At 37.5% G+C, this 18,397-nt stretch overlaps 1 protein-coding gene across 3 annotated transcripts in view; it reads right to left on the reverse strand.

The window, feature by feature from the left end:
* C5 (complement C5) overlaps positions 1–18,397 on the reverse strand; it is a 122,531-nt gene that overhangs the window by 34,738 nt on the left and 69,396 nt on the right. For 2 of the 3 annotated variants that reach the window (NM_001317163.2, NM_001735.3), the window contains exons 21-25: positions 10,475–10,702; positions 9,168–9,228; positions 4,119–4,208; positions 2,496–2,708; positions 1,974–2,049 (exon numbers count right to left, since the gene is read on the reverse strand). In NM_001317163.2, the coding sequence (NP_001304092.1) occupies positions 1,974–2,049; positions 2,496–2,708; positions 4,119–4,208; positions 9,168–9,228; positions 10,475–10,702 (668 nt within the window). Of the gene's footprint in view, positions 1–1,973; positions 2,050–2,495; positions 2,709–4,118; positions 4,209–9,167; positions 9,229–10,474; positions 10,703–12,600; positions 12,980–18,397 lie in introns of those variants that run through there. The other variant, NM_001317164.2, reaches the window with a different exon arrangement.

Below are 18,397 nucleotides of genomic sequence, written 5' to 3' on the forward strand. Positions count from 1 at the left end.
GTTGTGCACTGAGTAAAGAAACAGAAGTGTATTTGAGGAAGAAAATAATGAATTTGGCACATATTGTGCTTGAAGGATCTTTGGCTTCCGGAAACCTAGAAATATGGATCTAGGACATTTCCTAACTTCTTAGGAAAGAAGTTAGGCCTTGAGACATTGATTAGGGGGCCATTGGCCTAGATGTTATGGAAATCATGGGCAATAATGAGACTGTACCAGGGGAGATTACAGAAAATAAGAGGGCCAAAGATAAAATTCTGGGAGATCTCAATAGCTAAAGAAAAAAAACTGGCCAGGCGCAGTGGCTCATGCCTGTAATCCCAGCCCTTTGGGAGGTTGAGGTGGGTGGATCACGAGGTCCGGAGATCGAGACCATCCTGGCCAACATGGTGAAACCCCACCTCTACTAAAAATACAAAAATTAGGCATGGTGGTGCGCGCCTGTAATCCCAGCTCTCAGGAGGCTGAGCCAGGAGAATCGCTTGAACCCGGGAGGCGGAGGTTGCAGTGAGCCGAGATCGTGCCACTGCACTCCAGCCTGGGAACAGAGCAAGACTCCGTCTCAAAAAAAAAAAAAAGAAAAAAGAAAAAAGAAAAAAATCTAAAATTAAAGTATTCTAGGTTGTAAACTCCTTAAATATGTTTCATATAGAACCTACAAAGCAGCTGGCACACCGTTTTTATTAAATATTTTGTCATAGCATGATGGTTTTTTTGTTTTGTTTTGTTTTGTTTTTTGAGACAGAGTCTCACTCTGTCACCCGGGCTGGAGTGCAGTAGCGCGATCTCGGCTCACTGTAACCCTTGCCTCCTGGGTTTAAGTGATTCTCCTGCCTCAGCCTCCTGAGTAGCTGGGACTACAGGCACATGCCACTACGCCCAGCTAATTTTTGTATTTTTCATAGAGACGGGGTTTCACCATGTTGGCCAGGATGGTCTCGATCTCTTGACCTCATGATCCGCCCGCCTTGTCCTCCCAAAGTGCTGGGATTACAGGCGTGAGCCACCATGCCCAGCCGGTATTTTTTGAAAATAGACTGCCATATGGACTCTTAATTAATTCAGACTATCTTTCCCTCAAATCATCAGAATTTTGGAAGATATGTTTCATTGAATAAATACTTACTGAGCATCTACTATGTGCCAGGTAGGTACCAGGCACTAGGGATACTTAGAACTTCCCGCATGGAGCTTATATTCCAGTGGGGGAGATACACAATAGTGGAATAAGCAAGAACGTTAGTAATCACACTGAGGAGAAAAGAAACGATATGAGGTGTTGGGAGGGGAGTGGATTGCAATTTTAGACATTATGATATAGCAGAGGCCTCCCCAAGGTGACATTTGGTAAAGACCTGAGGGAAATATGAGAGCCAGTCATGCTGACACCTAAGGAGGAGTATTCCAGACTGAGAAAACAGTGCAAAGGCCCTGAGGTGGAAGCATGCCTGGTGTGTTTGAGGAAGGCTAGTGGGGCTGAATTGGAGGGAAAGAGAGTATAGGAGATAAAGTAGGAGACATGAGGTGGAGCCAGATCATACAGAGCTTTGTAAATCACAATAAAAAGTTTGGTTTTTACTCTGGGTAAGATGGGAAGCTCCTAAATGGTTTTGAGTGGCATGATCTAACATATGTTTTAACAGGGTCACTTCAGTTGCTGTGTTGAGTATATACTGAAGAGGATCAAGGGCTGAACCCAGAAGACTAAGGGAGACTAGTGTAAGAATCCAGGTGGGAGAGGAAGGTGTCTTGGAACAGGATAGTGTGGTGGAGGTGGTGAGAAGTAGTCAAATTAAGGATATATTTTGAATCCATATCTGCTGGATCAGATGTGAACGGTAAGAGAAAGAGAGGAGTGAAGGATGACGAGGCTTTTAGCCTGAGCAACTGGAGGAATGGAGTTTCCATTATGGTTATTATTCTTTAGTTAATTAACCACTATATGAAAATGCAACTCAAAATCTTCTACTTACCAAGTGCTAGCACTTCCACCCTTCCACACACTGTAAGAGTAGTCAGCATTTCTGTAGGACATAATGCTCAACATCCCTAAGAAGCACAAGAAAAAGAACACGGTGCTTAACAGACCTCCGTTTCTACTCAAAGAACACTTTATCAGGCCCTGAGAATGGTAAGCTTCCTTTGGTGTTGGGCAGCAAGCATATGCTCTGTGGCCAGCATTGAACTTCTCAAAGGAAGTATATGAATTGCTCGAATTGGGAATTATCAAGTAGAACATTCTGATCTCATTCGAAAAGGAAGGAAGTGTTCTGTAGTTTGGAATGCAGGTGCCTTGCCTCTCATTCAGGCATTTTGGTAAGTTGAGCCAAAATGCTACAGAAATAATATTTATTTATATAGTAGAGTCCATCTCATGATTTTTTTGCTAAAATTCTCTTACAAAGTTTTCTATAATTCACAACTTAAATATTAGTTTAATAAAAATATTAGTTTAGAATCACCCAATTTTTATGTGAAATACTTTTTTTTTTTACCTTCTTTTAATTTTTTCTTCAGTTTCTGCTTTTCAATTAATGGGTCAGAATGAAAAATGTTCCAATGATTTCCTGTTTCCAGGTAGTGAAAAACATAGAATACTGGGACAACGCTCATCAGCTCCGCCTCTGCACTCCCTTTGGGGAGGTGGGTTAGGATATTGATGCCTTCCTGACTTAGAACTGCAGACAAGATCTCACCTACAAGCAGTCCTGAAACAAAAAAGATCAAAGTAGACACATTGCTTTTTATTAACTTCTAACAGTATGTTCTCAAGAGAGAAGAACAACCATCTAGAGATGGTTCTTCCCTTTTTATCTAGGCAGTTGACTTGCTTCTCAGAAACGGGGTGAGAAAAAAAGATCCGGTTAGGAACATGAATTTGAAAGAAACAAAAAAAAAAAAGACTTTAAAAATCACTAAAATATGGTGGTAGGTAATGTAATACAGTGGACTGATTGCTGCAAGAGAACATGGCAAATTAGTTGCCATTCAACCTGTTAGCTTTAGACATTATAAACCATATTTACCAATCCCTTCCAGGAAGCAAAGCAAAGAGCCTGAACAGGGAGTGCTGACATGACTGTCTATAATTCACTGTGCAACCTTGGACATGCCACTTTCTTTTATATCCAACAGCAGGGTTGCACATGATCAAAAAGATCCTTTCCAGTACTAACATTTTGTGATTCTAGGGTTTTATCTGAGATAAAATGTAGTCAGGACATTCTATCATTCGGTAATATGTTATTGAATTGTAAAGCCTGGAGACTAAGGAAAACCTAGTCACTTGTGCAAATATCACTTCTGCAAATGTATGCGAGGGGAGGAGAATCCCTGCTATGGTTTGAATGTATATGTCTCTCCAAAATTCATACACTGAAGCCTAATCACCAAGGTGATAGTATTAGAAGGTGGGGCTTTTTGAGAGGTGATTAGGTTATGATGGCTCCACCCTAATGAGTGGGATTAATAATCTTATAGACGAGGTAAGAGGAAGTTCTTCACCCCTTTTTGCCCTTTTGCCTTTCCACTTTCTGCCACAGGAGGATACAGCAACATATATCCTCATGGAAACAGAGAGCAGCCCTTGCCAAACACCCAATCTCTTGATGCCTTGATCTTGGACTTCCCAGCCTCCAGAACTGTGAGAAATAAATTTGTATTATTTATAAATTTTGTTATTTTGTTATGGCAGCATAAATGGACTAAGACAACCCTTCTGGGACCAGTACTTCAGCAGAGCAGTGCTGTTCTCGCTAGGCCATGTGCAGGCCATAGGCCTTCTCTGGAGCGGGACTGGCCACTAAGACCATGGAAAGTTCTTTAAGTCTAGAAGCAACTGGACCCCCATTTTAGAGACATCTTTGAGCCAATGACAGTCCCTACCTTCCATTGGAGGAGAATGCATCTCCATGTAAATCAGGCCGTTGGAAGAAGATAGTGGGAAAAGTGATTAAAGGTTTGAAAGTGGGGGTGGGTAGGGGTGGAGCACTCCTAAAGGTAGATTTGTGTGTGCTACTGAACACGGAAGTGGAGAAACAGAATAATCATGAGGATATTTGATTTTTGTTTGAAGCACCAAGTGAAATGAGAAATAAAAATGGCATTTGTTAATTTACCTTTTACACTCAAAATCCTTTTGATTTCTGTTTTGGGGACCAAATCTAAGGGTATCCTGTATGGGAACTCCTTTCGTCTGCTAATGGTACCTGTAATTTAGAAAATTTGGATTTATACAGAGTTTCCAGGGGAAGACTGTTTGCAGATTATTTATAATGTATCTACTTCCAAAGAATATTTCAAAATAAAAGACTTATAATTAGACTATTAAAATTTTAAAAGAAAGTTAAAAATCATCAAGGACTTTAATCAAACCCTAGGCTTGTATAATCTTATTAAATAAAGCATTAAATTTGGCTGTAAGCTTCCTGGTCATTATAAGATGTGAAATAAATAGGTTATATAAATCTTATTCACCAGCAAAATATAGCATGCCAGCTTGCCCAAAGACAGAAAATTGTTCCTGGAACTGAAAGCTAAGAATAACTAACATGTAATTTCTTAATCAACTATATATTGAACATTAGCTCCACAGGGAAGTATGATCTGAAATTCTTTCCACCTTCCCTTCCCAGTCTAGTTTTGATACTTTTTAATCTATGGGCAAAACAACAGAGTTTTAGCATACTGGTATCAGATAATTTTTCTACTGTGATCACTGGTTTATGTCCAAAAAAAGGTAACATTGATCATTCTACTGATAGAGTACCAAGCATGCTACTAAGTTCTTTAAATGAATTATTGCATTGGATTCTCACAACAGTCCTCTATGTTAGGTCTATTTTCATTAGTTTAATTTTATAGATGAGGAAATTGAGGCTTAGAAAGTAACGTGTTCAAGGTCCCAGAAACAATACAAGTGGAGCTGCAATCTGAACTCCAGAAGTTTTGCTGCAGAGCCCACACTAGTCACCACAAAGAGAATCCACCTCCCATTGTCCTGCTAAGAAAGCACTCTGGGGGCAGGAATCATTTCTCATTCCAGCTGTAGTCCTGGCACTTAGCACAGACCCTGGCATATGGAAGATGCTAAAGAAAAATGAGTCACATTTTGCAATTTAATGGACAAGCCACATGGCTTTCCTAAAAATGCAGGAACATTCCTCATAAAACTTCTTTCTTCATTAATCCTTGATAAATGCAGAGGATATATCAAAATAAAATTCAGAAGACATTTAAGAGGTTTGCACTTTGAGTGAAAGAGCATGAAGTTCAAAAAGAGCTTAGTATATATGTGACGCTGGGCAAGATACAACCTTTCTTAGCCTCAATTTGTTCATCAGTTAAATGGAGATAACAACATTTTCCTCAAAGGATTTTTGTGGGATAAAAATAATATAGACAAAGAGCCTGGCATACAATTCATGCTCAATATATGATACTTATTACAGATAGCCTTGAGATTATCTAGATTTGCTCCTTCACCATTTTCTCCATTGAAACCTGCTCTTGACTATTTCAATTCCATTGGCAACTCTACTACCAGGTGGAAAAGGTAAAGAGAAAGTTAAAACTAAGAGAAGTTAATTTTATTCCTCATCAGTGATCACGGTAAAAGACTCATCAAGACATCACATAAAAAGGCAGGTTCCAGACAGATTAAAACATTTTAAATTCAAATCTATAAAATTAACAGAATAAAATATCCAGCAATGTCTTTGTGAACTAAGAGTAGAGAAAGACCTCTTAAAGATTACCTCAAAAATATATAACCATAAGATGAAATTATGATGGATTTGACTACATCAGAATAAATAATTCCTTTTCAAACCCATGAAGGCTTGTTGTTGCTCAAAGAGGTACATCAGAGACAAAATCAAGAAGAAATTTTAAAAGGATAACCCAAATAGAAAATTTAAAAACGTGCAAAAGATATGAATAGGCAATTGACAGATGGGAAACCCAAATGGACAAGTATATGAAGAAATGCTTAAAATCATTAGTAACCAGAAGAATCCAAATTAAAACAATAATGAGATAGTGCTTTATACCCATTAAAAATGCCACATTTTAGAGAGGCAAGTGTTGGTGAGGTTGTGGAGAGACGAGAACCCTCGTGCACTGCTAATGGAAGTATAACCATTCTGAAGGGCAATATGACAGGACTAAATGGCATTAAATATGTATATATCCTTTGACCCAGCTCCTGGATATATGGTCCAGGTAAATGCTAACATGGATTTTTCAAGGGAAATATATTGTATATACAGTGATGGATAAAATGGTGAGGGAACATGCTCTGAAATTCTATGTAAGAAAAATGAATTAAGTATACCTATAACAATAGAGTTATATATATATATATTTTTGAGACGGAGTCTCGCTCTGTCGCCCAGGCTGGAGTGCAGTGGCGTGATCTTGGCTCACTGCAAGCTCCGCCTCCCGGGTTCACGCCCTTCTCCTGCCTCAGCCTCCCGAGTAGCTGGGACTACAGGTGCCCACCACCACGCCTGGCTAATTTTTTGTATTTTTAGTAGAGACGGGGTTTCACCGTTTTAGCCAGGATGGTCTCGATCTCCTGACCTCGTGATCCGCCCGCCTCAGCCTCCCAAAGTGCTGGGATTACAGGCGTGAGCCACCGCGCCTGGCCGAGATATTTCTTTAAAACTAAGCCTTGAGTGTAACAACTTAAGACAGAATAGGATCTATAGCACAATGTTACATATACATAGATTAAAGAGGTACATACATACAAAACAACATTACCTTTCTATTCAAAAGTATACAGCAAACACATTTGAGTGGGTACACTTGGAGGAAGGGGAATGGGAATGGGGTCCGGGATGAAGGAAAAAATAAAACGAGAGGGGCCTGCCTAAACCAATGAGGATGGTGTGTCAGGAAATGAGGGAGTGAGAAACTTAACACTCTGCATTTGAGATATGAGACGAGTTGGGAGAAAAGGGCTTATCAGGGACAGAAAGCAGAAACTAAAGACTAGAGCTAGTCTTAAGCATTGAGTCTCTGTGTTTAGTCTTTTTTTAAGCTGGTGTCACACAATTTTAATTACTATATACTGTTTGTTCTCCCTCATTGATATATTTTTTCAGATTTCCTTTAACATTATAGTCCATTTATTTTTCCAAACACTTTTTAGCATTTTTTTTTAACTGAACCCTGTAAAGTATCATAGTTGTATAGCGATTTCAATATATAAATATCAGAAATAGGCCGGGCACAGTGGCTCACGCCTGTAGTCCCAGCATTTTGGGAGTCCAAGGCTGGTGGGTCACTTGAGGTAAGGAGTTCCAGACCAGCCTTGCCAACATGGTAAAACCCCGTCTCTACTAAAAATATAAAAATTGGCCAGGCATGGTGGTGAGTGCTTGTAATCCCAGCTATTCCAGAGGCTGAGGCAGGAGAATCGCTTGAAATCAGGAGGTGGAGGTTGCAGTGAGCTGACATGGCGCCACTGCACTCCAGCCTGGGCAACAGAGTGAGACCCTGTCCCCCCACCCCACAAAAAAAAAATAATAAATATTAGAAGTATTTAATAAAATATCTGAAATAAGCTGAACAGAATTTTTATCTTTTCCCTCTTTAGCTCTGCAGAAATCAGGAAAGCTGCCTAAACCCAAGTTGCCTAAAATGTTAAGGGAAAAAAGTCATATGAGAAGATTGGAAAGAGGCACAGATTTTTGTTTTAACCCAGATTTTCTCTACAGAGATTTATTCCCAGATAAAAGATTGTTCCTATCCTGTGGCCTTGATGTTCACACCTAGGATGAGTAAGGCAAGACTGCTCTGGAAAATTGTTTGCAATAATGTCAGCAGAAGAAGCATCTGTGGTGAAAAAAAAAAAAAAAAGAAAGAGAAGCCAAGGACACAGTGGCTTTTGAGGCTTGATATAATTGCATGAGGCTAAAACCCTTGAAACTTGTAATATCTCTACCCATAGATCATTCACAATGAGCAGGCAAGGAGGAGGTCTGTGTGAAGAAAAAATTGGAGAAACAAGTAAGCATGTGGACGCATGTACATAGATGGATTTTACTTTTTATTGCTCTACTGAAATAACACTCCTCAGTTCATGATACTCAGATGAATTAAAGTGTAAAGGGTATTAATTCTTTGCTTTCCCAGAGGAAATGACACTGATGATAGTGATCATGATCTGTAAGTAAATTTTTTCCCCATTGTTATATCATTGAAATAAAACAAAAATTATTGATACAACGTTAAGATAAGTTGTAAGCATTTAATAAGAACTGCAGTAATCTGTCTTCTTTAGTTGAAAAGAGAATGGTTAACTGGCCACATCCTAAATTTCATAAATACATGTATATGTATTTAGGCCTTGATTAAGTACTCAAATGTTTGCAAAATTCTAGCTTTGAGAAGATTTGGAATATCTCAATTGAAGGAAAAGTAGGGAAGCAGGAGCAATGAGGAATGGGTTTGTTTAGTGATTAATTAGCATTATTATGTTTTCAAATAATGCATGTTAATTATGTAAATGACTTTTTCTTAGGTGTTCTTTGGACTGTTGGCTCAATAATAATATATTATAAATTATTATTGTGATGGATAGACAATGAATAATATATGAGGGAAGTCATGCAATTGTTACTATTTCAAGGCCTTGCATTCAAAATTAATGGAATTATTATTGTTGTGTCTCAGTCATTCAGATTATAGTAGTTGTACTATAATGCTATCAAGAAAGATAGTGATCTAAGAAGTGGATACTTTTTTTTTTTTTTTTTTGACACAGTCTTGCTCTGTCGCCCAGGCTGGAGTGCAGTGGCACGATCTCAGCTCACTGTAACCTCCACCTCTCAGGTTCAAGCGATTCTCCTGCCTCAGCTTCCCAAATAGCTGGGACTATGGGTGCCCACCACCATGCCCAGCTAATTTTTGTATTTTTAGTAGAGGTAGGGTTTCACTATGTTGGCCAGGCTGGTCTCGAACTCCTGACCTCAAATGATCCACCCACCTCGGCCTCCCAAAGTGCTAGGATTACAGGCATGAGCCACTGTGCCTGGCCAGAAGTGGATACTACTGATTTTAGACAATTCACTTTCTGAAAAATAGTGTTTTAAGTTACATACACACTTTAACTTCTAAAGCAAAAGATAACATATAAAATAAAAAATCATTTTGCCTACCATAAATACCCCTAGGATCCAAAGTAACACCAGAATAGCTTTCCCTTTTGACACCTTCTGGCTAAAATAAAGGCAGAAAACATTCAGTTAAAAACATAAGTTTATATAACCTGAATTCCCTGGATCAACTTTTCTGGACCACTTTTCAAACTAAAAAATTATTTTTCTTGGAAAAGGCAAACTATGTATAAATACTTACATGGATATAAGCAGCAATAAGATTTTATGGCTATTTGCATATTGACCAGAGCAAATGCTTAAAAAGAAGTTATTTATAAGCCAGATAATTGTTCTAAGTGCTTTATATGTATTAACTCATTTAACCTCTAAAAACCTCTATGAGGTTGGTGCTGTTATTACTCCCATTCGACAGATGAGGAGACTGACACACATGGAAATCAAGTAACACTGTCACACTGCTAGGAGGTGATGGAGCCAAGATTCAAGGCCCAGCAGCCTCGCTCCAGAGACTGCATGGAACCACAGTGCAAGGATGCATGGGAATGTGCTTTGCACAAAATAAGTCGGTACATGTTTACTGAAGTGAATTTCATAGCTGAAAACAGAGAGTGAAGAGCCAGGAAATCCAGTCTGTCATTAATTGGCCATATGACCCTTAGCAAGAATCTTAGTCCTTTAAAAGTACTATTATTTTTAATTGGTAAATCATACTTATATAAAATATTAAAATTATATAAAAATATTAAAATTACATAAAAATATTAATGTTAATAGCGTGAATACAATTAACAGACTGTGGGTAAATTGTACTTAACAAATTATACTTTTCTTCTTTTTTGGGACTGTTTATTTGTTTATACAATGGAAAGTTTTCTAGACTGCAAGTTCTTTAAATTCAAGGGCCATGTCTTATTTATTGTTTTATCTCCAGTTCCTTGCATAATGTCTGGCACATAGATTTCAAGACACATTTTCTGAATGTATTAAGGGGAAAAAAAAGCCTGTGTACCAATTGTACCTGTATACCAAAAAAAGACGTGTACCAATTGTTAAAATTAGATATCTCTGGGTATGGGAATTATTGATGATTTTTATTTATCTGTCGTTTTTCAGTATTTTATATTTTCTACGAAACAAATATTGTTTTATTAAAAATTTTTAAGCACGATTTCAGACTTACAGAAAAATTGCAAGAATAGTACAAAAAAAATCTGGAATAACCTCCATCCAGTTTCCTTAATGCTTAATGTTTCGTTAAATTTACACTATTGTTTCTCTCCCCCCCCTTTCTGTGTCTCTCTTTTGCAATAATTTAAGCATAAGTTATTGAAGCATGTTTTTCTTACCACCACTCGTAATGTTTTTACTAAGATTTCTTTTCCAAACCAAGTCTCCAGTGAAAAATTGATGTTGTGAAGGCCAATTTCCAGAGGAAGCACAGTGAATGTCACCAAGTGACTGGAGGAGCCCTCTACTTTCTGGCGCACACATTTGGAGGACTTTGTGCCCTGATGATCAATGACTGGGCTTTCCGAAGTGCAGATTCCCTCCACAGCAGACATTTTAACACAGAACTGAAATACAAGTGAAGAATTATATCAAAATACATTTTTTTTTTTTGAGACAGAGTCTTGCTATGTCGCCCAGGCTGGAGTGCAGCGGCATGATCTCAGCTCACTGCAACCTCCGCCTCCCGGATTCAAGCAATTCTCCTGCCTCAGCCTCCTGAGTAGCTGGGATTACAGGCATGCGCCACCACACCCAGCTAATTTTTGTATTTTTAGTAGAGGCACGGTTTCTCCATGTTGGCCAGGCTGATCTCGAACTCCTGATCTCAGGTGATCCGCCCACCTCAGCCTCCCAAAGTACTGGAATTACAGGCATGATGCTGTAATCCGTGCCCAGACTCGAAATACTTTATCTCTAAAAAAGTTGACCTTGATTATGCTTGTCTGGACACAAACTCTCCACTTTAACAATGTTAAAATAATCCCTTAGATTCTAAGGCACAGAAGAAAGTTCATTTCAGATTTCCTAACATAGACACACAAGTTGCCGTAGAGTTTAGCAATGCAAACAGATGTCTAGAAAAGTCAACACTGTCTCAGAAACATCTTACCTTTCTTAGACTGTTACGTACTAAATTGGGTACAGAGCTCATGCTGTTGTGATAGCACTTATTACCCTGTCTCTTTACATGTTTGTGTTTCAGATAGTGGGAGCCTTAGGCTCAGGTACTTTTTCATTTTCATCTTATTCATTTTTGTATCTTTTAGCTCAGCCTCTGGTATTCAGTAAATGATGGGTTTCATCAAAGACTGAAAATTCCCTATATCGGCATTCAAGGCCCTGCCCATTATGTCCCCAGCTTACTTTTCTAATTTTATCAACTTCCCATTTGTACCCCATTTTACAACCAAACTCTGGCTCCAGAAAGACCTGGATTCAATTTTTGGCATTCCTCTTATTAACTGGTGATGGAAACTGGTTGCATGAACTCTCTAATCCTCCATTTTCTCATCTTTGTAATGGGAATAATAATAGTGCCCACTGACTTCTGGCTCAAATAGTAAACATTTTTCATCTTCCCTCCAAATTCTGGTGAACTGATAGAATTGAGAACTATACCCAAAATAATAAATCCATAAAATCCAGAATAAGTCAAGCAGGTAAACAAAAGAGAGCACCAGCTATTCAACCACTAATTTTGAGGAATTTCTTGAAAACAGAAAGTTCCTTTTCCTTCTTAACTATCTTCTTGGGAGACAACCACCAGGGTGGGAGAAGCCAGAGCAAAAGACTATTGGATCACCTGCGGCCAATGATTTCCTTAGAACAGCAGGGGAGGGTGGGGAAGGATAGATATAGAAGAGTCATTTAATACAATTCAGCATAATTGCATTACAAAAACTCTTAGTAAATTGAGACTAAAAGGAACTTTTGAAACTGATAGAAAATATAAAAAAAAAAGTGGTTCTGGTTTCAGTAATAGCCAAATAGCTTATATTGGGCAACCTTTCTGTAAAAATAACCACAAACTCTAGACAAGATACATATTAAAACAAACTACCTGCAGATACTAGAGAGTGGGAGGGAAAGTGACACTTGGGAGAAGGGAATGACACTGAATAAGTGTCCCGCTTTTTATAGCTTTACCCTGAGGGCAGGTCCCATTGGTGCCTTGGAGTGGCTAAAACCCCAGTAGAACCTGACATCATACTGGTTTAGGAACTAGAGGACAAAGTAGGGAATAGTTACCACAGCTGAATAGTGAAGGAACTCCAAGTTCTGTGTATAATCCTTGCTCAAACCTGGCTGACCCTTGACCTATGCACAGCACAGATTTCTAGCATCCAGCTAAGGCTAAAAATACTGAACTGAGATTTCAGAGTCTGGAACTGAATCCAGCCAACTGCCTGCTAACACACACACACACACGAAAAATCTTCAGAGGAATGTAATAGAATCCAGAGTCTTTATAATATTTTTATTAATAAAGTAGAAGATTCAATCCAAAATTACTAGATAAAAAGAAATAGGAAAGTGTAACCCACACTCAGGAGGAAAGGTAATTAACAGGAACTAAGCCCAAAATATCACAGATGTACTTGTTTCTTATTTTGATATGATGGAAATGCACTGAAAATTTAAAGATTAAATAAAATATGGCAGTATAGTGATATGCATGACACTTTAAAATGCTGTCAAGTTGGCTGGGCATGGTGGTGTGTGCCTGTAATCCCAGCTACTTGGGAGGCTGAGGCAGGAGAATCGCTTGAACCTGGCAGGCGGAGCTTGCAGTGACCCGAGATCTTCCCATTGCACTCCAGCCTGGGCGACAGGGCGAGACTCTGTCTCAAAAAAAAAAAAAATGCTGTCAAGTTATATATAATTGTGTTATTGCAAAGGACATACAAAAGAGATGGCAGGCTAGATTTGGCCCATGGTCCATAAATTGCTGACCCTTGATTTAGTTCATAAAGCAAAAGGATAAAGAGATGTAAAAGATTCAATATGGCAAGTCAATTTCCCTTATATTAATTCATAAATTCAGGACAATATGAAAACCCTATTATAATTTTAAAAGGAGAATTCAACAAACTAATTCCAAAGTTTATCTGGCAGAGTAAATGTGTAAGAATAACAACATCAAAAACGTTTGAAAAATAAGAATACCAGAGAGTACTTGCCTAATAGTTATACAATATAACCACAAATCTATGGTACTTTAAATCAGTGTGATACTGATGTAAACAAAACAGAGGAGAGAATCTATAAATAGATCCACATATATGGAAATTCAATATATATGGGGGCAAGATGACATTTTAAATCAGTTGGAAAAGCATGAATTCCTTAACAAATACTGCTGGATCATCTGGCTATTTGGGATTAGATCCTTATTTCAGATAAAAAAATCTAAATGCTCACAAAAAACTATAAAAGTACTATAGAAAATATAGAAAAAACAGTTCTTTAGAAAAACATTTTATTTTAGGTTCGGGGCACATGTGCAGGTCTGTTGTATAGGTAAATGGCGTGTCGCAGAGGTTTGGTGTGCAGATTCTTTCATCATTCAGGTAATAAGCATAGTACCTAATAGGTCATTTTTTGATCTTTACCCTTCTCTCACCCTCCACCCTCAAGCAGGCCCTGGTGTCTGCTGTTCCCTTCTTTGTGTCCATATATACTCAATGTTTAGCTCCCACTTATAAGTGAGAACATGCAGTATTTTGTAGAAAAACGTTTTTAAAACTTGCAGTGAGAAAAGATTTCCAAAAACACAAAACTCAAATGACATAAAGGAAAAGATCTACAGATTTTATAACATACAAATTAAAAACACTAATAACAAAGTTAAAGACAAGTAGCAGATTAAATACCAGCAACATTTATAATCAATAAAGAATTTATAGCTCTAACATACAAAGTGCTCCTGTAAACAATAATAAGTACATTTGTTGAGTACTCACTATGGGCCAAGTACTATATTTACATGAATTAGCTCATTTAATCTTCAACTATGAAATAGATACTATTATCATCCCATTTGTCAGATGAGGAAACTAAGCAAGAAGAAGCTAGGTAACTTACCCCAGAAAAAAGGAACTCAATGGAAAGCAAAAGAAAGGATATTAAAGTAGTATATAGGATATCATAGAATACATGAAAGAAGAAATACAAATGGCCACAGACAAATGAAATGAGGTTCAACATTGCTAGTAATCAGGGTAGTGAAATAGAAACATCAGTGACATATCACTTGTGTCTGTCAACTTGGCAAAAATTTTATGTGTATTAACAAACAATATATAGCGCGGTCTTTCATGTTTTTAAATATTATGTAGTTGTATTCATTGTGTATACATATTATTCTGCAATTTGCTTTTTTCAGCAATGTTACATTTTTGAGCTTTAATCAAAATGATGCATGTAGTTATCTAGTCCATTCATTTCAATTTCTGTATAAGTGTTCATTGTATGAATAAAAGAAAAAATGTTTATTCCCCCAAATTATAAGAATGTGAGGGATCAAGGCTACCTGCATACACTTGGTAAGAATGTCAATTGATGGAATCCTTTTGGAAGATAATTATGGCAATATTTATTATCAGAAGGTAAAATGTCCATGCCCTTTAGCCCAGTTAGTTCACTCCAAGACAAAACATCTATCCTACAGAAATATACATGTAGGAAGATATGTATGCATAAATGCAGACTTTGCAAAATCAGTTATAATAGTGAAAACCTGTAAACAACCCAAATGTCTTTAATAGAAACATGGTTCAATAAATTATAGTATACCCACCATGTGAATTACTGTGCAGCCATTAAAGTAATGAAGTAAATCTGTATATACTGATATGAAAGGATGTCTCTGATAATATTATTGGTGGAAACACAAATTGCTGAGGCAGTGTGTGTATATATATATATATGTATGTATATATGTATAGATATGTACATATATGTATATATGTAGATATGTACATATACGTATATATGTATATATACGTATATATATATATGTATATATGTATATGTATATATATGTATATATGTATATATATGTATATATACGTATATATGTATATATGTATATATATATGTGTGTGTATATATATATATATATATATATATACACACATACCTACACAAGCCGATTTTATATGTCTAAGACTAGGTGAGCAGAGGAGCCCTTGCTGATCTCAATCCTACAGTTGAGCAGAGTTTGGCTGTGGCCTCTGTGCCTTACCCATCTGTTATGGCCACCTATTTATGTGTCTATCTCAAATTACAATTTACATGGTTTAAGAGTGACACCTCCTTAATCATCTACCAAAATCCTTTGGTAGCCAAGATCAGTGTGAGTTATAAAATTATGCTGAGTCTGTTTTGATGAGATGGTCTGACTGTCTTAGTATCTCAGTTTCCAAGCCTCAAGCCCATCTTGAATCAGGATTTTGAGACATGAAAACCACTACAGGAACCTGATGGAGAAATGGCCTTTGGTATCTCTATCTGAGTTATGATTATCTTAAATTCATGAAGCATTCTGTCTGCAGAAAAGCTAGTGGGTTTAAAAGAAATAATGTAAAGGCAACTTTACAGCTTCTTAATCAAGGTCCTTCTCCAACTCTTCACGTTGTATTTAGGGTGGTGGGGATGGAGCCAAATGAGGGAGGGCAATTCCACAGGGCTGAAGATGGTGGCATGATTCATAGGATTTATGCAAACCCTGTGAGTAAATTCTAAGGAAGAGAAATGAGTAACATTTTGATTTTATTTCTGTAAAAATAAGATAATACTGGCCGGGAACAGTGGCTCATGCCTGTAATTTCAGCACTTTGGGAGGCCAAGGTGGGCAGATCACAAGGTCAGGAGTTCGAGACCAGCCTGGACCACATGGTGAAACCCTGTCTCTACTAAAAATGCAAAAATTAGCCAGGCGAGCTGGCACATGCTTGTAATCCCAGCTACTCAGGAGGCTGAGGCAGGAGAATCACTTGAACTTGGGAAGCGGAGGCTGCAGTGAACCGAGATTGTGCCATTGCACTCCAGCCTGGGTGACAGAGCAAGACTCTGTCTCAAAAAAAGAAAAAAAAAAAAGATAATACCATCAGTATGGTAAATTCTGATTACTTAAGTTTATTCCCCATTTACATCCTGTGGCCAAGTAAAATTTGTGTGTGCATTCTCTGATATTTAGTGTTACCTGATGAAACAAGTTTATATGGAAAAGTTCATTTTTACTGAAAATTAAAATTGTGAAAAAAAGAGTGACATTTCTTAACATGATTTGGATTGAAAAATGAAATTGGCATTTCTATGACAAAGAGTAAGTCTGATTTTCGCTGATCATTTTATCAATGAGGACTGATTTTTCCAGTTAGATTATATGACAAACATATTACATAAATTGAATAAGCTAAATGTGAAGCTCCAAGATATAAGATTAAAATATATTGATAAAGGGGTAATAAAATTGACAATATTTTTATTTTATCAACCTTCCTGATAAAATTGGGTTGAACAGCAATGCCTACCTCTATAAAAATGAAAAATAAGAATAGAATTTATGCCAAACTCTCTCTCATTTCTAACAATAAATAACATTTATCCATAACTATTAAGCCAATTGAGAGAAAAATTTCATTTATCTAATGAGAAGATAATTTTTTTTTTGAGACGGAGTGTCGCTCTGTCGCCCAGGCTGGAGTGTAGTGGCGCAATCTCGGCTCACTGCAAGCTCCGCCTCCCGGGTTCACGCCATTCTCCGGCCTCTGTCTCCCGAGTAGCTGGGACTACAGGCGCCTGCCACCAAGCCTGGCTAACTTTTTTGTATTTTTAGTAGAGATGGGGTTTCACCGTGTTTGCCAGGATGGTGTCGATCGCCTGACCTCGTGATCCACCCGCCTCGGCCTCCCAAAGTGCTGAGATTATAGGCCTGAGCCACCGCTCCTGGCCGAGAAGAGAATTTTTAAATAAAATTTTATTTCTATATTTAATAACTTTAGAAATATGTTATTTTATCAATAGTATACTAATAATAATATTTGTAATGATACCTAAATCCACATATCATTTGATACTTGGAATTTTACAATCATGAAATTTTAAGATATTTCATTTTCAATGTATGTGCATATTTTTGTTCATTAAAGTATAATAAGGTGATCAACAGAAAAAAATTCATGCATAAAATATGTAACATTAGGGGAGTAAAATGGAAATATGAATTCATTGAGGAAAAGGAATGATATGTAATCTGTTGCTAAGAGCTTATTCGAGCCCAGGAGCAGTTCCTCATGCTTGTAATCCCAGTACTTTGGGAAGCTGAGGCAGGTGGGTCACTTGAGGTCAGGAGTTCGAGACCAGCCTGGCCAACATGGCGAAACCTGTCTCTACTAAAAATACAAAAATTAGCCAAGCATGGTGGCGTGTACCTGTAATCCTAGCTACTCAGGAGGCTGAGTCATGAGAATTGCTTGAACAGGGGAGGAGGAGTTTGCAGTGAGCGGAGATCGCACCACTGCACTCCAGCCTGGGCAATAGAACAAGACCCCATCTTGAAAAAAAAAGGCTTATTTGAGCATTTAAAAAATTGATTGCTATGGTATTTGGAGTCTGCTATACATAAGTTTGATAAAACAGTTTTATTTTAAGATACCAATATTTAAATATTTTAAAAGTAATAGATTGCCATCTTTTAAAAAATGTATGATAAAAATTTTAGATGCCAATTTTAAAATGTGTCAGAGGGCAGAGCGAGACTCCGTCTTAAAAAAAAAAGTGTCAGAGGGATACATAGTTTTTCCAAAACAAGAGGGTATGTAAGCAAAATTTTAGGAAACCACTGAAATTCTAATCTCTAAGAATAAAGTTAGTGTTTTAAAAAAATATAGCTAGAATTTTGGAACACATTGAATTCTCATGCAAAGTTTTGTGACTGTGATTTTCAAATCAAATCAGTCAGCCTATTATATAATTCTCTTTAGGGGTGTGCTGGCAAAGAGAAGATAAATGGTGGGTCCAATCATGGTTGGAATTGTGTCCTGGAGTGAGATAGGATCCAGGGAGTTGGCATAATTTTAGTCAGTGTGGTTTTAATGATGGCTGGTGAATTCTAATCTGAACAAGGAGTAAAGTAAAAAGAGCAGGGAAGTAAAGGACAATAAAAGGGATTGAGTCAATGGACTGAAGGTTTCAGTGATGCTACTGACCCAGAGCTATGGAAGTAATCTGGTTAATGAGTTAGGAGGACAGGA

The sequence above is a fragment of the Homo sapiens genome, chromosome 9 (genome assembly GCF_000001405.40).
Source record: "Homo sapiens chromosome 9, GRCh38.p14 Primary Assembly".
NCBI classification, from domain to species: Eukaryota; Metazoa; Chordata; class Mammalia; order Primates; family Hominidae; genus Homo; species Homo sapiens.